The sequence below is a fragment of the Homo sapiens genome, chromosome 4 (genome assembly GCF_000001405.40).
Source record: "Homo sapiens chromosome 4, GRCh38.p14 Primary Assembly".
In the NCBI taxonomy this organism is placed as follows: domain Eukaryota; kingdom Metazoa; phylum Chordata; class Mammalia; order Primates; family Hominidae; genus Homo; species Homo sapiens.
The window spans coordinates 61081076-61104755 of record NC_000004.12 but is presented as its reverse complement, the minus strand read 5'-3'; the positions used below and the strand labels follow the sequence as shown (position 1 = coordinate 61104755).

The following is a 23680-nucleotide window of genomic DNA, read 5'->3' as shown; positions in this document are numbered from 1 at the left end:
AACCATTGTGGAAGTCGGTGTGGCGATTCCTCAGGGATCTAGAACTAAAAATACCATTTGACCCAGCCATCACATTACTGGGTATATACCCAAAGGATTGTAAATCATGCTGTTATAAAGACACATGCACACATATGTTTATTGCAGCACTATTCACAATAGCAAACTTGGAACCAACCCAAATGTCCCACAATGATAGACTGGATTAAGAAAATGTGGCACATATACACCATGGAATACTATGCAGCCGTAAAAATGATCAGTTCATGTCCTTTGTAGGGACATGGATGAAGCTGGAAACCATCATTCTCAGGAAACTATCTCAAGGACAAAAAACCAAACACCGCATGTTCTCACTCATAGGTGGGAATTGAACAGTGAGAACACATGGACACAGGAAGGGGAACATCACACACTGGGGACTGTTGTGGGGTGGGGGAAGCAGGGAGTGATAGCATTGGGAGATATACCTAATGCTAAATGACGAGTTGTTGGGTGCAGCACACCAACGTGGCACATGTATACATATGTAACAAACCTGCACGTTGTGCTTATGTACCCTAAAACTTAAAGTATAATAATAATAAAAAAAAGTATCTCCTGGCCAGGCATGGTGCCTCACACCTGTAATCCCAGCACTTTGGGAGGCCCAGGCGGGCCGATCATGAGCTCAGGAGATTGCGACCATCCTGGCCAACATGGTGAAACCCTGTCTCTATGAAAATACAAAAAATTAGCCAGCCATGGTGGCACGCGTCTGCAGTCCTAGTTACTTGGGAGGCTGAGGCTGGGGAATTGCTTGAAACCGGGAGGCAGAGGTTGCAGTGAGCTGAGACGACACCATTGCACTCCAGGCTGGTGGCAGAGTGGGACTCGGTCTCAAAAAAAAAAAAAAAGAAGAAAGTATTTCCTTTTCTCTGCTACCTCTATCGCTTCTTCCACCAATAAAAAATAGGCCGCAGCATAACCCTTAGGAAAAACACTCCTTAGCTATTGCTTTTTAAAGCAGTTTTTCTCCCTTGCCACCCAGAAAGAAATAGATATGGGATCAGGCAATGTAGGGGAAGTTGTAGGAGGAGGAATCATTACCTTTACCTTTTTTTTTTCCTATGGGAATTCCTTCCCTCTCATTAACTTCTGCAATTTAACATTTATACCAAGTTATTGAAAATGAGCCAACTATTATTTTCATCTCAAAGTGAAGAATCTCAAGGTCCACTCACAATTGCTGAATAGAATGAAATTGATGAGTTAGGATTATACTGTCTGGCTTCATTCAGTGAACTTGGTCCAGCATTTTTCAGATTCTTCTAAAGCCTCCTTTTTTTGTCTTCTTAGAAAGTCTAGTTTATCCAGTAATTTGAACTATGCAATAATTTTCTCTGCTTCGTTTCTATCTTGTGAAAGACTAAGCTAATTTTTATTGCACTTTTTAGTCAATGTTCAAATAAATCCTTTTTTTATATTGCACTTTTCGGTCAATGTTCAAATAAATCTTTTCAAGCATGGGTCCTATATTTCAATAAAAAAAGTTGTTTGAAATCTGACTTGGTGGACTCCCTTTGCATCACCCACAAGGCATTCTAATTGAAAATCTGTCTTTTCTGAAAATCAAGTCTTTAGCTCCAGCTTCAGGCCATATGTTCTTTTCTGCTTCCTTCCATCTTTATGTAATTACTATTTGTAATAAAATGGAAAAAAATTAATTAACAATTAACAATTGTTACAAGCTTCAGTGAGTTTGTAACAATTTTCAAAGCCCTCTTAGTGAAGAACTTAACATTTATTTGAGAAGAGCCAACTGAATATTGCTGGTGGAAGAGGATTCTGAATATCTAGTATATGAATTGAACCATTATGCAAATTGAGGAATAAAGGATTTGTTTGTTGCCTCAGAGAAGACATGAGGGAGACAGAAAGAGGGAAAGAAGAATCAGTGAACTACCACAGAGGCATGTAACCTCTACTTGTGATGCAGTCTTAGTTTTGGCACCTCCTCCTCCAACAACAAAATGAAAAACAAAGAGAACAACAACAACAAAATGAACACAACGCCCTGAGACAAAGCCTTAGGTAAATGTAGTTATTGGGAAGAGATTTTATTAGACAAATGTGAAGAAGTGGGGATGTGAGACAAGGAAGGGGAAAAGGCAACAAAAGATGCACTAAATCTGTTACTGCTGTGGAATTCCACATTTTTAGAAACAGTAATGAGTTTCGGAGTGCCCCACTGGAGGCCAAGGTTGATAAGGAGGCTGGGGCATCTCCTAAAACCCATTTTCCATTGGTTTAGAATTGCCTGTGCCTCTGTCCTACTGAAGAACCCCTGTTCTTCAGGATTGTGCCTATGGGCAGCAGAGCAAGCTTTTTGATGCCAGAGAATGTACAGAGTCCTCCAACAACTGCCTCTTCTCTCCATCTAGATCTTGAGTACAGGCTACTGAAATCACGATATGCTTAATGTGAGGGGATATTATGTGGAAATTGATGAAGAGACTAAATTGTTTCCAGGGTGTCTCAGGGCAAGAGATTGAACTTTCATGGTGGAGACAGAGAAAATCATGACCCCAAAAAGTTGCAGGAACTGGTGGAATCTGTTGGGAAGGACTTAAACTGTCACAGGCTGAAGGATTGGGGTTCAGCTACAAATTTGGCTAGATCTCTGAGAGGTAAGAGATCTTGACTTAAATCAACAAAATGCACAGATCCCAAAGCTAGGGAGTCTTATGATTAAGACAAATAATATGAGTGAAGCAGTTTAAAAGAAACACAGGATTTCAGTATTTCTTTGTTAGAGACATGAGTTAATGTTTTAAAAACATTTCTCCAAATACTCATCTCCAAGACAATTAGAAGCCATGGGTATTGTATGGTCCTGGACAGGCTGGATTCTGTTTTAAATGGGCAGCTGCTGCTTAGCACTAGTAGATTCAACTGAAATAATGTCTATAAACTCAGGATTTTTTTATTTTTTATTTTTTAATTTTCTTTCCTTTCTTTTCTCATTTTTTCCCTCTGTTCTCTTCCCTTCTTTCCCTGCCTACCTTCCTGCCTTTCTCTTTCTTTCTCCTTATTTTCCCTTCCTCCCTTCCTCCCTTCTTTCCTTTCTCTCTCTATTTTTGCTGTTGTTCTCTGATAGATATATTCCCAGTAACTAGAACAGAGCCTGGCCCCTATCAGAGCTCGGTGAATATTTGGTGAATGAAAGAGTGGGTTACATGTGGGAATTTGGACATAGTGTTATCCAAAAAGAAAAAGATTTCTTTTTTCAAATATGTGAGATAGGAAACTGAATTTTTAGCTGACACATTCTGATTTTTTGGTGTTGGAAACCATCTAAAAATGTTTAAGGATCCCATGATTCCCATTTGGTGGGCAAAATCAATACCAAGGAGGACTGCTTGTTTACCATTTGGGCTCTAGGGAGTTTTGCGTGCATGTGTGTTTGTGTGTGTTAGCAAATTTGTCACTCAGCCTCAAACTTTTTTTTTTTTCAGAGACAGGGTCTCACTCTGTAACCCAGGCTGGAGTACAGTGGGGTGATCATGGCTCACCATGCCTGGCTCATTTTGTAAAATAAGTTTTTGCAGAGACAGGGTCTCACTGTCCTGCCCAGACTTGTCTGGAACTCCTGGATTCAAGCAATCCCACCACCTCAGCCTCATACAGGCATGAGCCACTGTGCTCAGCCCTCAAACTTTTAATCTTTGTGTGTCACCCAAGCGTATCTAACAGAGTCTCTAATACTAATGTCTACCTCTTAGACATAGAAGTTTTTAATTAACGGTAATTTTGAGAATATATAGAATTATTACACATGCACTTATAAAATTGTATATGTATATAATTGTATATATATGTATACAATTTTTAATAGGAAGAGGAGCAGCCAATACTGGTTCTGAAACTTTCTTCGGTAACACTACCTGATATTGTCAACTTGTGTCTTGTGTTGCTGAAGCCTAGAAGCTTTCAGAAAATTTATATTCAATATTCTCTCCTTCAGTAATTTTTCTCCCAACTGCCTTGTCTCTTGTCTCTCAATACCTACTGAGCTTGCCATCTTTGGCATTAGCTTTTATAGTCTTTTTGTTGTTAAACTGTTTTATGTGTATTTGCCTTATTGTTTTTCAACACTATTTCAAGATTCACATAGGCTGGAACGATTTTAATTTTTCTCTTATATTTTATCTGTCATCAAATATAGCATTGGGCTTATGGGGGTGTTCAACAGACATCTGTCAGAAGAAATTACATCAATATCTGAACAGAGAGACACAACTTTTCAGAAAACAAAAACTTTTTCCCCTTGATCTTTTCATCACTGTTGGAAGCTCACCCGTTTGCCGTTGCTCTCAAACATGAAATATTATATCAGCCTTTGCTTCTTCAGTTTTTCCCCCTACATTGATTTCAGTTTAATTCAATTTCTTCATTCTTCTTATACCTGAGTTGGAACAATATCAGGCAGGAAAGTTCAAATTAATATTTTATGGATTATCTTCTTCTTTTTTTTTTTTTTTTTGAGACAGAGTCTCACTCTGTCACCCAGGCTGGAGTACGGTGGCACAATCTCGGCTCACTGCAACCTCCACCTTCCGGGTTCAAGCGATTCTTCTGCCTCAGCCTTCTGAGTAGCTGGGACTACAGGTGTGCACCACCATGCCCGGCTAATTTTTTGTATTTTTAGTAGAGACAGGGTTTCACCATGTTGGCCAGGCTGGTCTTGAATTCCTGACCTCGTGATTCGCCCATCTTGGCCTCCCAAAGTGCTGGGATTACAGGTGTTACCCACCGCACCCAGCCCTTATGGATTATCTTCTAAAGGTTTCTTTTTTCTACCATAAAACTGTAAAATATATTCCCTTGATTTGACTAAATTCCCATCTTCCTTAAAATCCTATAATTCTTCTTTATCAGTGTCTGAATCAAATTTAAATTTTGCACAATTTAATTTCCTGTATTCTTGTTGCTCTTTTTTTTCCCATTATCTTTTCATCTTTTACTAATACCCTAGTATCTTCAATCCAAACAATATGGCCAATAAGGCCTTCTGGTTTCTGTGTTCAATTGTATTTGCTAAATTCCAGAATATCAACTTAATTTTCAATGATAAACTTAATTATTGCACACTGAATTTGCTTGATTGTTGCGGTTTCTTCTCTTGGCAATTTGGATGGGAAGTCACAGTATAATATAAGCCATTTATTAATTTTCTATAAAAAATTATAAACAAAAATCATAAAAACCTCAAAATGCTTTTGATCAGCACATTTTTTCTTGCTTGCAGAACCGCATGAGAAGCCAAGTCCTAATCAGAAGGTTGCTTGGTAAGTGTGGAATCAGAACAAGTAGCTTTAGATGACTCAAAAGTTTAATGGGCTGAGGCAAAGATTGCTTCTGAGCAACTCTTTATACCTGAGAGGTTTCCTAACAGTGTGTTCTGAAATTTTGATAGGTAGAAGCTGTAAAAACTGTCATATAAAAGATGCAGGCAGCTTGTGTCTCTGAAGGGGTAAAGATGAACACTCCTTTGGAGCTGATTGTTCCTTCACTCTGGGAAAACCTGACTGGGGCTTTAGTTGCACAAATGTAAAGCAAAAATCCCTTATGAATTATGAATTATTCTTGGGAAAAATGTGATGTAATTGTTAACGTGAATGAAAACATTTTGAACTGCGAGGCTAAGTGTTCTGTTTGCTAATGTATGATTTTGCCCAAGCTTGTGCAAGTTCGTCAGTGTCTGCTAGCGTCAGTTTTCTCTTCAGTAAGATGGGGACAATGTTTATGAAGATTAAATAAGGTCATACAAGTCAACCTCTTAGAATGGTGTCTCACATTTATTAAGTGGCTCAATATTAGTAATGATGTTTCTGAGAATGTCACTACTCTTTAAAAGACATATTTTATTTTTCTGTCTGGATTTTGACTGCACTGTGCCAGAAAACTGAATTTTATTCTTCCGGGCGATGTGGGTATTTGGTTGCACAGAAGGCTGGGGAATAAACTCCAAGTCAGATCCTGGCTTCTTGCAGAAAGAACATGGATAAAGTACAGGGATGAAAGTGCAACGCAAAAAAGCTGTTGATTTCTTGCACATGATTAACGCAGATGGATATAGTAAGGCTGCGAGGTGATTGGCTGTTTCTGGAAGAGAGTTTTTCTTATACTAATTTTCCCACTCACACATATCTTGAGGAGGGGAAGATTGCGGGAAAGAAAATTAGAAGGAGAGCTTTTAAATGAGATGGAAGGGAATTTTTGTTGTTGTTGTTCTGGCTAAATGATTGGTGTCTGGACTTGAGGTGGGTTGGCATCCTCCTGTATTGGTGGAGCTAAGTCAGCCACTATTCCATGAAATTAGGCTAGGGCTAAGGCCTATTGGGATTTGGGAAATAATGCTCTTCATGTACATTTATTGTCTCTTTTTCCATTGGAATGGGAAGTTGGGGTAAATGGTTGGTTAGCTACACTACATTCTCCAGCTTTCTCTGTAGTTGGATATCGCCATATGACTGAGTTCTTTCTAATGGAATGTGAGTATAAGTGTTGAATTCCACTGCCAGGCCTGGCTCTCAAGCCTTTGGAGTATTTTACCATGCTCTTTTTCCTGCCTAACTAGCATGGCAATAAGCAGAGAGATCTTGGAACTCATGCATTGAATATGGTAAAGTGGCCGTCAGACTAATTCCTGAATGGCTGCATGGAGAAAAGCCAGCGTTGGGTTGGAACCCCTACCCTGGACTTCTATAGGAGAAAAACATATTTTTTAGGCCACCGAATTTTTGGTATTTTCTTCAAGAAATTTACCTTCTGTAAGAAACCCAGAAATTAATGTTTGGGCGGTGGTGCTACAGGCTGAAAAGCTGAAGAAATACATTATATTGTGGTAAAACATTGCAATTTAAAAACCAAACACCGCATATTCTCACTCATAGGTGGGAATTGAACAATGAGAACACATGGACACAGGAAGGGGAACATCACACTCTGGGGACTGTTGTTGGGTGGAGGGAGGGGGGAGGGATAGCTTTAGGAGATATACCTAATGCTAGATGATGAGTTAGTGGGTGCAGCACACCAGCATGGCACATGTATACATATGTAACTAACCTGCACATTGTGCACATGTACCTTAAAACTTAAAGTATAATAATAATAAAAAAAATTAATTCCAACTATAACCTGGAATGCAGACCACATGCTCATATAGTTTTAGGTAAAGTGGTTGGAAAGTGCTCCATGTTTATAGGTGTTAGCTGCTATCCATTGCTTCAACTAAAGTATTACAAATTGACTGGTTTGTGCACAAAGATTGAAGGGACAGAATTAGACATGAAAGGCTTCACAGGGCTGGAAAAGCTAACTGCTTCTGGAACCCAAACAGGAAATAAGATGTAACATAGCTTCAAATACAAAGGCTTAATAAGATGTCTAAGTTAAATTAAGGCAATTAAGCTTGCAGCAAAAATCAGATGAAGGGTGATATGTTTCCACTCAACTGTTTCAGATGATCTCAAGGTAGCTCTCATTACGTTGACTCTCTCTCTCTCTCCAGCAAAGTTTAAATAAAAAGAGCAAATTGAAAAACTATGTCTAAAAAACTATTTTGGGTGTGGCTACTGGCACCTGGAAAGGACAAGAAATAGAAAATAAATCTACTTAGTTTTTGAGAGAATTGCAATGCCAAGAAAACCGTAATCCTCACCTGAGAAAGATTTGACTCCGACCTGTAAAATAATCCTTAAACCATGGAACTGTCACAAACAAGAAGTGAGTTTGTGGACCCTGCAACCCTGAAGCGGGACATACACTCTGATGATCATTACAGAGTGCTGCGAAAGACTACAGAAATGGAGAAACATCTCAGAAGGCAAATCCTGGTGCCTTTGAGGATTATGGACCAGAAAGCTTCTCCCAGAGAGCAGAATCACACCTAATGTGGGGACTTTATTTAATACTGGGGCAGGGTCTTACATAATGTAAGCCCAGCAGGAATGTGCCATTTCAATGGACTATGATTGCTGTGTGTTGTGTGTTTCCTATAGTCCAACTCCCCTTTATTAAATGGACTTTTTTGTGTCTTTGGAGGTGGGGCGGGGGCAGCAAATTTAGGTTTACAGAAAAATTGAGCAGAAAGTACAGAGAGTTCCAATATACTGTCTCATGTCAACTCCTGTTCACCAGTTTCACCTATTATTAATATCTTCTTCTAGTGTGGCGCGTTTGTTACAATTGATGAGCCAATATTGATACATTATTATTGACTAAACTCCAGTTTTCATTAGGGTCCAGCTTTTTTATTGTATGTTCTATGAGTTTTGACAAATGCATAATGATGTGTCCTCACCATTACAGTATCATTTAAGATGATTTCACTGCCCTAAGTATACCCTGTGCTCCTTCAATTCATTCCTCTCTCACTCTTCCTCCTTTCTGCTGGCAACCACTGATCTTTTGGCTTCTAGAATGTCACATAATTGTAATCACACAGTATGCAGACTTTTCAAGTGGACTTATTTCACTTAGCAGTCTGTACTTAAGGTTTTTTCCATGTCTTTTTGTGGCCTGATAGTTCATTTATTTTTATCACTGCATAATGTTGCATTGTATGGATATACCACAGTTTGTTTATGCATTCGGCTTTTGAAGGGCATCTGATTGATTCCAGATCTATGCACTCTTGGCAATACTCATTTGTGAGCATACAGTATAACAAAACATGATTGCTGGAACATGCAGTAAGTATATACTTACTTCTCTAAAAAACTACCAACTGTTTTCCAAAGTGGCTGTGCCATTTTGCATTCCCACCAGCAATGAATGAGAGTTTCTGTGGCTCTGTGTATTCTCCCCCTTTTCAACCGACATTTTTATTGTGGCTATCCTACTCTATTAACGTATATTGACTGGGGCTTTGAGTCGATAATTTTAGTTAAAGGTCTCTGTTCCATGAAGAAAAATATCCAACTCTCTAGAAAAACTTCTCCTGGTGGAGATCTTGGGCTTGGGACTAGATACCACATCTGGATAAGACTGAATTGTGTCCTTGGGAGAGAGTAAGTCTGTGAAGGGAAGGACACAGCAAAGGTTGCTGCCTAGACATTAAAAGGAGAATTCCACACCCAAATGGCTCAAGCAGGTGGCCAGGGATGAGAACTTAGAGGCATTGCTCTAACCTAGCAGGGAGGCCTGCTTCCTTTACATGGACTATCCAGGCATTTGCCTGTGAAATTTAAATACCCCATGCCCTATTCACTTATATAGACTGTGGATTGACATGGCCTTTCTCTCTGTGTATGTGTGTCTGACTTTTCCTTCCGGCCTCATGTGACCTGGGGATGAAGGAAGACTGCCCTCCTGACTCATCACACTCTCTCTGCCCAGGATCTGCAAGTAAAAATCTTTGAACTTGCTTCCTGTTGTGGTGGTATATTGAATTTGTGCCTTCCATCTGAAGAACGAGGGGCTGCCCCAGGCAGGGTTTTCCCAAGGACACAGAGGGCAACGTAGGGTTGCGCTTTCAGGGCCAGAGCAATGGTCAGGCAGGCATAAAGTGGACATGGGTCAGACATGAGCCACAAGAGCACCTTCCAGTCTAAACAAGTTTCTTGTGTGAGGGATCCCTACTTGTGGGTTGGGCAAGTAGGCATTAGGCCATCTGACAGGCAAAAGAAGAATCTTGCGCAAGGCACACTGTAAACACCTGTGTCCAGCTCTCCTGCATTTCCTGTTAGAGCAGGGTCACTAGCAGCTGCTGTAGCACTGGAACTCCAGTTTAGCTGGGGGCTCTGTTTTATCTGCCTCAGAGAGATAAACTGTGGTGGAGAGGACTATCTGACCCTCACAACCTATTGTCTTTTTCATCCACCGTAATTGAAGTGCTGGACCTACAGCTGGCCAGCTATACTGTTTCCCAACCTGCACCACATTTAGGTGTAGTCATGAGACAGTGCTCTTTTTATGGTATGTGAGTACAAGTAATGTGTGCCACTTCCAAGGCTGGCTGTACAAACTTCTAGACATGCCCCTCCATGCTGTTTCTCACTTTTCTTTGGGCTGGAATGGTGATAGTATAAGATGACCAGAGAGACATTGGAAGCCATATATTATGAACGGCCAAGCCTTGTTAGTCTGGGTTCCTGAATAATAGCATTGAGGGAGAACCATCCTGCTGACCTAAATTTTTCCCATTAGACTACTATGTGAATAAGTGATGAACTTCTCTTATATTTGAGCTAAACTTGGTTCTATTTGTAACAATAGTTGTGCCTATTTTAATAATCCATATGCATAATGTAAAGTGCATCATTTTCTTCTCCTTCTGGGCTCTCACAATGCTTCATATCACCTAAAAAATAATGGTCGTAAACAAGAGGTTTTGGTCTCACCCTAAATTGATTATTTTCTTTGTTTTATTGATGGTCTGAGTGGCAATATAACGTAAAAGTAAAGAAACTGGCATATAGGAGTTTCTTTGCTATCAATATCTACCTACATTTAAATCCCTGGTTTTGTTAACTTAGGAAGATTTCTTTAACTTTTTAAACTTCAATTTCATTATCTGAATAAGGAGAACAATAGTATTTATTTTATAAGCTTGTTGTGGAAATTAATTGAAATAAATCATGTAAAATATTTAGCACACAATTTGACATTTAGGTGCTCAGGCAACATTAACTATTAGCTAGTTCTTCATTCTGTGAGGTTGGGTTCTACACTCACAGTTAGTGGAAAGACTTGGGTTTAAAATAAACAAAAATTTTCCTGCTACTCTCATAGCCTCTAGGTGAAATAACTTCTGATTTTAGTAAGAGTAAGAAAATGAGGAAATATAAAAGATAGGGATTTCGTTTGATTTCCTGGGGCAATCGCCAATTTCTCCAAATCAAGTACAATAATAGCACCTCCCATTGGGCAGAAAGTTTGTAAAGAGAATTGCTGAACCTCATCATACATGAAAATCCAGCAGTTAGGGCAGATGCCAGAAACAGCACTAAGGGCGTAACACAATGAATTGCGAATGTGTACAAAGAGTTCGGCAACTGGCAAGAGCAATTAAAACTGCAGTGAGCATGTGCTGCGTGGAAGTTATTGGTAGATTGAATTCAGAAATCCAGCAGCAGCTGAAGCAGCGAAGACAATAAATAGTTTAAATTGGCAACCAACACTTTTTCCAAACACTTATATATACATAATGAGACAAATACAAGAGAAAGTGTGAAGGAGAGTGAAAATGGGGTTGACTGGGATTCTGAGGGAGGTCACAAAGCCGAAATGCCTCGATTAACTAAACTATGCATCATTGCCAAGGGTCTCTGCAACACCCTCCCACCCCCCACTCCATAGCATCAAGGAAAAAAACAGAAGAGCAGAATAGCAATGAACAATAAATCAAGTCTCACTTTCAGAATTGGTTGGTGAAAAGGTGAGGGAAGAGATTTTCAACTTTCTAGGTAAGAAGGAATTGATGGTCAAATCCAAACTTAAAAAAATTTATACGATTTGCAAGGTAAATTCATTTAAGATGTTATTAAATATTCTCAATTAAATTCCTCCCTCTTATAATTCCAAATTCATAATTATTTCAGGAAAGTATTCTATATTTAAAAACAACATATAATCTGGGCCCTCACAGCAGTGTGGATATTATAATAATGCCCAGTCAATGTTTGATTATATTGGGTCATATCCTTTATCACTTCTGAACCTATTAAGTAAAGGGAGATAGACTTTCGCAATCAAAGTTGAATTTAGGTTCTTGTCTAGCCTACAAATCAAGGGATTATAGAAAATGGATCAAATTTAGGTATAGAAAAAGTCTGTAGGTGAAAACCTTGAAGAGACAGGATAAATATTCTTCTTAGAATGTTATCTTTCTCTAAGGAATGTAAATTTTTAGAGATCAGAGACAGTCTTTGATCTTTTGTTTTGTTTTACAGCAGGACAGTCTAATAAACATTATTCTTGTTTTATCCATTCTATCTTATCTCCTACTGTTTCCCAACATGAAGCTTCCAGTCCAGGCAGGCTGGCTGCTCCCTTGACTTCACATTGGCCACCCTCCTTCTGGCTTCTGAGCCCACCTTCTGTGTTCACACCATTTTCAGTCTTTTTCTGATGGTTTTCATTTTTTTCCTTTTCTATCAAAACCCTCTTCATTCCTCAGAGTCCACCTTAAATCCTCTGACCTCTTTCCTATCATTGAACTTCTGTAGCATATAGTTCTTTGAATCACACAGTTTAGCAGTTTATTTTATTTTATGACTATTTAATCATTTCATGTGTGTAAATCATGTTATGCCAATAAGATAAGTTCTTTGAGTAAAGGGCATAGGTCTTCTTTCAGGCATATGGTAGACATTCAATGAATATTTATTGATTGATTGTTTAATATGCTTCCTAATGCACATAAGTTACTCTTAGGAAGTAATTATACAGTGGAACACTCTGGCTAGAAAAGAATTGATGCAGGAAGAAGTTGAGCAGAGAACTGGATAAAAACAAAGCTTACATTAATGGTAGCAAATGACATGATTAACACCTTTTATGGCAGCCTTGCAGCTTGAATTTGATAAAGGAAGGTAATTTCTCTAAAGAACCAAAAGCTAAATTGAATGATTGAATTTAACTCTGTAGTGGAAGGCTGTGTTAGTCGATTTTTAAAAAGATGACATTTGAGCGTATTTTAAGTGCAATGCATCAATCTGCCATTGAGCTAATGAACTTGAAGTTAAAAATCACTGAGGAGGTTGGTGCCGATGACTCTTTCAAGTATCCTTGGGGAGGCAAGATGTGTGGGTAATTGAATGAAAATCTATCTTGACTGACCCCAATGACAACAATGTCCAACTAACATTACAAATCACCTGTAGTCTTTAATGAACTATTTTTTAATTGCTTTAAAAATGTTAATGGGGCCTACAAGGGAGTAGAGCAGAGTGTTTCTTATTTGTCTATTCCTCATCAATAAAATACATTTTTAGTTTTGTTTTTATCACTGGTAGTTTACAAGTAACTTCAGTAGCTCCAGTTTAAATTTCATCAGAGGGGAAAATAGCACATTTGGTTGTCTTTACATTGCCTAATCTTTCTGTCTTTATGAATGCCTTGAGATTATAAGATCAAATTAGTTCAACCATAAAATGTAGGAATAAATGAGAAATTCGTTACTCTAAACTAATTAAAAGGAAAATAAAACAGAGAAATACCTTTTTCTATGAGTTCTAGTAGAATTCTATCCAAATTCACAGCTCAATTAAAATGTGATTTTCTGTTTTTCTAAAGGGAAACATAAATGTTTAGAGATTGTTATACAAATAACATATTATGAAAGAATCATAAAATGAATACAGTTTTGAGAAGTGGTGGAAATAGGTGTAACTGAACTGCATGAAAATCTGTAGAAATATTAACCAAAACATAAAATCAAAAGAAGTTTTAAATTAATGCTTGATAAAATGTGGTCATAGAGAGGACATCATCAGAATCACTTGTAACGCTTGAAATGTAGATCCCTAGGTACTCTGGTTTGAATGTCCACTCCAAAACTCATGTTGAGATTTAACTGCCTTTGCGACCATGTTAAGAGCTAAGACTGTTAAGAGATGATTAGGCTATGAAGGCTCTGCCTTCATGAATGGATTAATGTCATTGTCATGGGAGTGGGTTTATTACCTCAAGAGTGCATTGTTAAGAAATGAGTTTAGCTTTCTCTGTCTCTGTTGCCCAGGTATGTCCTTCTGCTTTACACCATGGAATGGTGCAGCATGATGGCCTTTGCAAGATGTAGTCACCTTGATATTGCACTTTCCAGCCTCCAGAACTGTGAGAAACAAATTTTCTTTCCTGGCTGTTATAGCAACACAAAATGGACTAAGACATAAGATCATACTCAAAATCTACTGAATCAGAATTTCTGAAGGTGAATCACAAAAATCTATGCAGTAAAATAGAATCTTAGATGAATCTTTAAATGCAAAACTTTAAAAAAATTTAAATCCTACTTGACTTTTTCATTCTCGAATTTCAAAAATATGTCTAGAAAGATAAACATCTATCTATTTACAGTGTTAACTTGTGACTGTAATGTGGAAGTAGGGCAGTGTCTTACTTTTCAAGTACAGATCTTTGAATTGTTCTTTTCCCCAAATCTGTCATTCTTTAATAATAAAGAAAATATGTGAACTTTGATGATCTCTGGTATTATGAGTTATGTTTTGTCTGTAGATTTCTTCCTCCCTCATCTTTTGCTGGAAAGGGGCATATTGGGGAAATGGTGATGATATAGTGAGGAGTCTAATTTGAGATTTCAGATCCTGGATGATTGATAGTATCTGAGAGAGCTATTGAGAGGAGTAATGGAGTGAGAAACTTAGTCAAAATTGTTGATAGTTAGCCAAGAATCAAAATGTAGATACCAAATGCCAAAGCCAAGTTTAAGTGGTAGAAATGATGTAATAGATGTAGAATAGAGCAGGTATAAAAAACTGGGAAAAATGAGATTAGAGTAAGAAGAATCCAGAAAGATGACCACAATGAGCAATGGATACTTCCCTTTAGGGGCTAACAATTACATACTGCAAAGGAATCCATCTCATTTAAAATTTTGGTGTTGAAGTCTTCAAGGGTCAGAGATGATCCCAAGTCTGTTAAATCATGTTTTTCCATGATTTCCCTTTCTAAATTATGAAATATAAATATTTAATTTAATTCATTTTCATTTTAAAGATAGAACTGTATTACTTAGTTTAATGCAAATGTCTTGAATTTATTACTGAAAGTCCCAATTATTGATAATAAGTATTTCTGAATAAAAACTAGTTTGTTAACAAGAGAGACATAAACAGTAGAACTTGAAGACATCCAAATAAGGAATAATCTTCATATATCCTGGTACATAATCTCAATGGCTAAATCTAGTTCATTTAAAAATATTTCTAGGGGGAAAATATAGAAAGAACTTTCTATATTTTGACATTTTGAACTTTCTATTTTTTACTCTATCACTCTTTCTGGGCCTCTGAATGTAGGTGTATGTGATGTAAAAGTTCTTGGGGGCCTAGAAGAAAAAACGGTTTGTTATATATGTGGGCTGCTGGCAATTTCTGCATCTTCCATTTCTGCTCATCTATGGTTGTCCCTGATCTTTATGTGAAGATGCAGGCTTGCTTTGTTCCTAAATTCATGTTGATTAACACGAAGAACACATATAGAATTTTGATCCCTACAAATGTGGTATAATCTAGAAATGGTTTTGATGCTACTCACTCAGGATCTGATCTGCCTAAAATGAATTTCTTGGACCTACTTGTCTACTTAGTCTGTACCTTCAACATAGGGCTCCTGAGTTGGTGCAACTCTACCTTCACATATTGCTAAGCGCTAATTTCTTCCAGGACTTAAGCCTTGTCCTGAATGCCTACTAAAATGAACCATAACACTTGATTAACTTTTGATATTGCTCTATCATAAGAAGGTATATCTTGTTCTTGTATAGTTATTACTCATTTAATACCTTCTGCATAGCCTTATAGCCTGATATGAGAACCCTACAATAGACTTGAATTCAAGTCTTGCCTGCTTTATTGAACCTTTGATCTGTGTCCCCGGCTTGACTGTTTAGAGTTTCTCAGACCTTGGTGGCTGCCGAAACAAACCATGGCCTTTTTGGGTACTATTGTTTACACAGTGGGCCCACTTAAGAACTCGGCACTAAGGGAATGTCCGTTGTGTTCACTTATCTCTCTTTCTGGTCCTAGTTCTATCCTCTTGCCCACTGGTCATGTTACTTGGTCTTTATGCTTGTTTCTAGATGAAACTTATTCAACATTTAATGTCATTCGAAGAAATTTTGAGTTATATTTCCTAGAATACTGTGCCCAATAAAAGGAGTCTGGTTCTACAGGAAGAGTTATGTTTTTGAATCATAGACAGACTGGTAGAATTATCTCCTTTAAGAATTCCCCAGAGCTTGGTAACCTCCAATCATTTGTGCAATAAAATTGATTTAACTACATAAATACAGGAAAAGAAAAAAAATTCTCTTGGGGAACCTCACCACCAGAAAGCATCTTTCCCTCTGGACCAGATCTAGTGCTTCGGAAGAATTATGAGCTTCCTGCCATTAGTTTTCAGAGACTGATGCAAACCTGTACTTACCCCTTTCCTGAACAGTTTTTTGCTATTTTGTGCTTTGCAAGATCTTTTGAGCACAGGATGCTTTACGCTTCAGCTTATTCTCACTCTGCATTTCTCAATACATACCTGGAATAGAAGAAAACAAGCCATGAATACAATACGTACAACTCTTTTATTATATTCCATTAGCATTGTTGTAGTTCCATTCTTCTCAGATACAAACTTAGCAACAGCATACCTACTTTGTCTACCTATTCTCTGACTGACAATCTTATGCTTTTGCTAGATGATTCCCAATAAGCTTTCATAGTCTTACATATTCAGATTGAAACAATGCCACAGCTAGCACTGCTTATTTGTGAAACTAATTATTATTATTACCTGCATTGCTTTGCACTTTTGCATGGTGCTTCTCATTATTACAACGGAAGAATGTGTATAAACTCCATTCCTCTTTTTCCTTCTTTTATTAAAAAACTTGTCTTATTGGACAGGGACGGTGGCCTATGCCTGTAATACCAGCACTTTGGGAGGCCGAGGCAGGCAGATCACGAGGTCAGGAGTTCGAGACCAGTCTGGCCAACATAGTGAAACCCCATCTCTACGAAAAATACAAAAAATTAGCCGGGTGTGGTGATGTGCGCCTGTAATCCCAGCTACTCGGGAGGCTGAGGCAGGAGAATTGCGTGAACATGGGAGGCGGAGGTTGCACTGAGCCAAGATCGCACCATTGCACTCCAGTTCGGGCTGCAGTGTGAGACTCCATCTCAAAACAAAACAAAAACAAAAACAAAACTTGCCTTATTTATTGACCTTTCATACCTTGAGCTGTTAGACAGACTCTATTCTCCTAACCTTTAACACAAGAAGGTATTTCCAGACAAACTTCTCTGGATCTAGACCTTCTTTCCCTTACCTTCCTTTGTGTAACTCATAATTTACCTGTTGGTCTATCTGTCTCCTTTACTTTACATGTGTTTCATAGAGAATTAATATTTCACCAGAAAAACCTCGAGGAAATATTATTTAGATTCTTTATGTGTCAGTACTTTTTAGACTGTACAATACATTAATTTTGTTTTACAAAGGAAAATATTATGAGCTTCATAGAGTTTAAAGTGCCTTCCCCAAGACCAAATCATTAGCAAATGATAAAATCAGATCCAAAAAGTGGTCTTCTGATTTCAAGTCCAATTCTCTTTCAGTGATACTGTTCATTAATAGATGACTATTCTCTCATCAGCTGATTTGTTGGTGGGAAAGTAAGAGCCTGAATTTATTAGCACTCATTGACGTTTTAGGTAGTCATTTTATACAGCTGCCGGACTCACTGAAGGATAGTAGCAAAAGCTCAAACTGTAATCCATAAATGTCTTCACTACCATCATGATTATTCTTTGCTGAGGTCTTGATCTAATTAAACTGTCATCACTCTGTTAAAGTATGGTTAGAGGGCATTTTATGAAGTTTAAAGAGGAGGAGAAAATGAGGAATTAAATGTCTGACAGGACAGTATCAAATTTATTTGTTGACACACAATCTTAAAGTCAAGCCATTTCGAGAAAAGAGCAAAAGACATTTTAGTGTGAAGTAAAGGGGATCCCACTAGGGAAAATATATATTTACACATAAGTGTGAAACTTAAAAATTCAAATGATAGTTTGATCTTTAAATTTCTCTTTCTTTGCCCCAATTTTTAAAGAGGGAAGAGCTATTGGAAAAACTATATACTTATGGTTATATATTTACATATTTGATTTGATGCAAGTATATATCTAAGGGTTCAGCCAGCACTGAAATTTCAGAGGAGTTGGTTTTGTTAAATATGTATTTTTAAATCAACCCTGTAGAAAGTTGAACCTAAATATATATATATAATATTTATTAAACCAAAATATTAAACTAAGTTATAGTGTGGACTTAGTTCTGGATAGGTTATAGCCCTTTAACTGCTTACGTTTAATGGTTGATATGGTTTGGCTTTGTGTCTCCACCCAAATCTCATCTTGAATTGTAATCCCCAGTGTTGAGGGAGGAACCTAGTAGGAGGTGATTAGATCATAGGAGCAGTTTCCCCCATGCTGTTCTATTGATAGTGAGCAAGTTCTCATGAGATCTGTTGGTTTTATAAGTATTTGGCGAGTTCTTTCTTCGCTCTCTCACTATGTAACACGTGCCTGCTTCTCCTTCTGACATGATTGTAACTTTCCTGAGGCCTCCTCAGCCATGTGAAACTGAGTCAACTAAACTTATTTTCTTTATAAATTACCCAGTGTCAGGAATTCTCTATAGCAGTGTGAAAATGGACTAATACAGTGGTTCAAGTTAAAAATAAAATAAGCATGATATTATTAACATTGGTAATTATTAAAATAGCTTTTTTTCAGAATAAAGATGTTGAAGAAATAATCTAATCTTCCTTTTAATGAAACTTAGTATCAACTTTGTCACCCATCACCTTGACCTTAATACATATTTCTTTCTAATATTGCTATTAAATTAATTTCTTTCACCATCCTTACTACCTCTAACTTTGATTTACTCTCTAAGTGCTTTGTTCTGGATCACAGTAATAGCTTTCTAACTGATTTCCCTGGTCTCTCTTATTCAAACCTATCTTTCCATACTGTTGTCAACTTAAACTTGCTAACATATCACTTTCTTCATGTTACTCTATTGAAATGATCAATAATTTATAATGAGTTTAGGTATGTATAAAAATCCAGGGGGCAACACTGAAAAGTTGATTGTGAAATTTTGCAGGGAGAGCTGGCAGAGATAATTGAGGCTTATAAGTAATCAAAAAAGGAGAGGATCGGTATTAACGAGGTAAATGTAAGAGCAGGAATTAATAAACTAAACTGGGAAGCTTAATTACCATGACTTGCAAAATTTTCATCATGACTTGCAATGAGAAATACATTTTATTTTTACATTTTATATTTCTCATTGATCAGGCACACATACCATGCACAGTAACCCATACACACACATACACACACACACACACACACACCTGAAACAAATATGTCACCAAAAAATGCTTACTGTATGATGTATTTGATTTTTTTAAAGTTTGTTCTATTTTATTTTATTAAAAAACAAATTTCTAATAGAGGAGGCTATACATGTGTGGGGATGGAGGAATTTTGGAAATCTGTATATCTTCTGCTTTTTTTTTTGCGATGAAACTAAAACTTTTCTTAAAAAATGAAGTTTTAAAATTGAAAACAAAGTAAAACAAACAAAACCTCCCAAATTCTTGGTGGTGATCTGCTAATTGAATTCACTAGTGAGTACTGACCTATAGTGCAAAAAATACTTCTACAAAGGAAAGTAATAGTGTAGTGCCAGAAAGATTTGGGAGGAAGTAGTTTTCGGGTATGATTAATCAAGGAGGTCAAAGGCAGCAGAATGATAAAAGAATAGATAAAATGTCTTTGTTTAATTTGATAATCAAAAAGCGACAATTAGGAGGCGATTGCTGTAGCGCTAATTCCAGTGACCAAGAGTGGGATGAAACGAGACTGCTAAGGATTAAGGAATGGTCGAGATCAGAGGAAGGTTATATCCCTAAAGCCCACTTTACAGATTAGAAAACTGGTTCACAGAGGATAAGAAATGTATTCTAACTTGCACAGCCAGTGGTGGTCAAAACCAGATCCTACTCTGAAAACCAAGGTTTTTTCATCATGTCACAAGAAGGGAGAGTTGATGAAGGCCATCATCAGATTGATACCGTGCCTTATAGCCTGTCCTTCATTAAGCTTATTCTGTTCCTCTAGCCACAACCTTCTTTTGAGCATCTATTGAATGGTATTTATTGTATTCATAAGATGTTTTTAAAATATTGTCTTCTTTATCTTATCTGTCTCCCCAGGTTTTAAGTTGCATTTCAGTGAAAAACGGTGTCCTATTGTCTTGTCTGTGATTGGTGTCGGGTACTGGATATGGTATGTTGTATTCCTCACAGCACTTCAGCATAATACCTTGTACTTAGAAAATATTCAATAAATATCTGTTGAATAAACAAAAACACTAGATACTGCCAGGTCTGTGTAAAGATTGCTGCTTTAGGAATTAACATGTATTGGTTATTTCATAATTAGAGTGGCAGCATGCTCTATAGCTAATAAGTTATATTAAACTCTTCATTGTTCTTTCTTTTTCTGTCAAGGACTTTATTGACATGTAGTTTCCTTGAATTTTTTTTAAAGTACTATAATCTTTATCTTTTCTGTTTTCTTTCTGAAAATACCTTTAAGCCAACTTAGTGTAGTAGAAGCAGTAATTTTTCTTCTTAATGAACCAACTTTTATCCTATACTCTGTTGCACTTGCCTTTCTTTTCTACCTTCACCATTCTTCCCTACCAGATTGGAGCAGATCTTTTCTAAGAACCAAACAACCCAGCAAATGTCTCATATAAATATCCTGACAATTACAGCAATTTTTCATTTTGTGCGTGTGAAAAGTCTAGTGATAATTGGATATACTAAACCTGCATCTTTATTTGTAATCTAAAGTTATGTTTTATTTGAGTTTTTAGTGTTTTTATAGAAGGTGCAAATTTTATAGACTAAATATACATCTTAAAACTTGAAGTTCCAAATTTAATTTGCCTGCAATTAAAACCTTTCTTGTTCTATGAATTTTGTAAGCTAGTTCTGTTAAGCCAAGTCAAGTTTAGTGTGATATCTTAAATAAAAATCCAGTCCATCTTTTATACTCTTAACTCTATCTCTAAGAAACTTCCTCTTTTTTAAACTATGGGAAGAAAACTACTGGAAGCCATACTTTTCCCGACCAGCAGCGTCTGAGGGATGAGGCTACTACTTTGCTCTAAAGCAATTATTTCTCAGAAATTTTGTATCCTGTTGATATTGAAGGTATTCCTCATCTTTGAATAAAAACAGAAAAAGCCACGTGTTAAGTGCTTACTCTGTACCATCTACAATGTTAGGTACTTTATATTAAATATATCTTTTAAAATTATTTTTTTCAGTAGTTAATGGATTAAATCTGTTATAGAAAATGCTAAAGCTATACAGTATATTTATTAAAAAAAATAAGTCTTATTTCACTATAGACTCTCAGCGACACTTTCATTTCCTTGGAGTCAAAATGTCTTCATTTTCTTGTGCGTTCTTCCAGAAATACTCTATTATTCAAGTCTTTTTCAGTACAAAGTTCTCACTTTTCCTATAAAATTATGCTTCTCTGAAATAGTATTTTATATATTATGTTTATTTTGGATATCTTAGAGTAAAATATTGTGAAGGAGAAAAATGGCTTCATATGATTATCTTTCAGTAAAATTTTTGTCTGTCTGGTGTTTCAAGTTGCTTAAGTCCTGCAAATCTTAGAGGTAGTTGAAAGTGCATAAACTGGTATGCTGTACGAACTGAGCTTGGAAAGCTAGCCTCTGGCCTGTTAGTAGTGGGACTCTAAGAAAGTTGTTTGAATTCTTAGAATTTCAGTTTGCTTATCTGCAACTTAATCTTATAGTATTATAGCCTACAAGATAGAAGACTTATGTCTGGGTCACGCATCCTTGGATCTGAATCTTAGCTTCATCACTTGTTTGCCACTAGGAAAATTATTTAACCTTTCCATGGCTTGCATTTTTATCCATATGATGGAAATACTACCTACCTTATGGGTTTACCAAAAAGTAAATGAGAAAATACAAGTACTGTAGGGCCATTCATATCAAAAGCTAGCTGGTAATTTTTATTCATTAGGTTGATTGACTTAGATAATGCCAGGAAACTACTTGGCACCTATTTACAGTCAACAAAATTTCCTCTTTTTCTGTGAATTAGTTGTGAATTTCTTTATAAATTGAATGCTGTGTAATTTTATAATGTGGATTAATATGGGTGGTTTTTTTGTATGTGAAGCTAGAACAATAGGATATCAATTTAATACAAGGCTTAGAGTTGAACATTCCATTTTTTATTCACTGTCTCATGAGAATTGTGCTCATAGGGCTATTAGAATTTAATAATTATCTAGTTTGATGTATGGCTATAAAGTATTTGTCCTAATTTCTTATTAAGAAATTGGGAAGAATGGGGAAGGGAGACTATTTTCTTACATAGATTATAGGAGGGGATGTATCAAATAGTCAAAGTTTATATAGAAAGGTGACAAATGAATTATATTAGTAGCTACCATTAGAGAAAGAAATATTTTATTTAAAGAAAACTCTTCATAAGCCACAGTGTAGGGTGAAGAGAGCCAAAACCTGAAGTGTATAAGATTTAACAGAGAAAATAGCACAAAGTACTTTGCAATAGGATTTGAAAGAAGAACAATATGACTAGATCTGAATCTAGAAAAAAAAAGATAACGACTTTTTTTTTGAAAAACTTTTTATTTTACGTGGTTTATGTTTCTATGGCATAAATTTTCTGTCTTTAGTAAAATATTTTGCATAAGATATTTTGCACCAAAAAATTGATGGAAATATAGGAAGACAACTAAGGTCTACTTGGTGTATGTTGTATAAACGGAAACTTTTTGAAAGAAATGATGAAACGGTTTCTGTGCTGAATTATTTAAATAATCAGGGAGATGAAGATGACCATGAGATCCACTCCTAGCTTTACAGTCAATTCAAATTTTGGGGAAGTGTTGACTTTCTCAATCAATGGACTGGGAATGTACATGTCTTGTATTGATTTTAAGAGGCAGGAGGATCCCAGTTGTTACCCGGTTATAGTTTGTGAAAAAATCGTTCTCAATGAATGCATTAAGGATTTTATTCCTATGGCCTAACAAATTACCACATATGTACTGGCTTAAAACAACACATTTGTATTATCTTATAGTTCTATAGGTCAGAAGTCTGACACTGGTCTCACTGGACCAAAAGCAATGAATTGGCAGGGATATGTCTCTTGCTGGCAGCTCCTGGGGAAAATGTTTCTTTGACATTTTCAGGTTCTAGAGGTTGCCCATATCCATTGACCTGTGGCCCCTTTCTAGCATCTTCAAAGCCAACTATAGTGGGTAGTGACTTTTTCACCTCTCAACCCTCTGAACCTCAACTCTCTCACCCTTTTCCATAGTTGTGTCTCCCTCTCTAACTATAGCTGGGAAAAATTCTTAGCTTTTAAGGATTCATGATCTTCTTTTTCAAAATTTTTAACCTTACTCACATTTTCAAAGTCTCTTTTGCCATCTAAGGTAATACATTCACAGCTTCCAGATTAAGATGAAGACATAATGAAGGGAGCCTACCATATATACAAAAGCTGAAATAATGGAGAATGAGTGTACTATGTACTCAGTATTGTTTATTAATTTAAGCAGAGTTTTAGCATTTAATTTAATAATATGCCTAAGACCTCAAGTATGAAAACAGTAACTATTACTCTGTTGGGAATGATACTTTGGTAGCAAACCTGTTAAAGTCTGTTTTCCCAGCTATCAGGAAATGCTACACTTTCTTCACTAGCAACTGTGTTATTGTTTGTCATGAACCTTCACCTTGGAGAAACAGCAGAAATATTTTTGGGGGGCTTCCCTTTCTT

The 23680-nt window shown here is 36.7% G+C and overlaps 1 annotated feature.

The window, feature by feature from the left end:
* Window positions 9251-9545: an enhancer, noted in NCBI's record as "tiled region #1933; K562 Activating non-DNase unmatched - State 24:Quies". NCBI's record gives its function as "activates a minimal TATA promoter and a strong SV40 promoter by Sharpr-MPRA in K562 cells {active_cell/tissue: K562}" and the evidence as "EXISTENCE:reporter gene assay evidence [ECO:0000049][PMID:27701403]".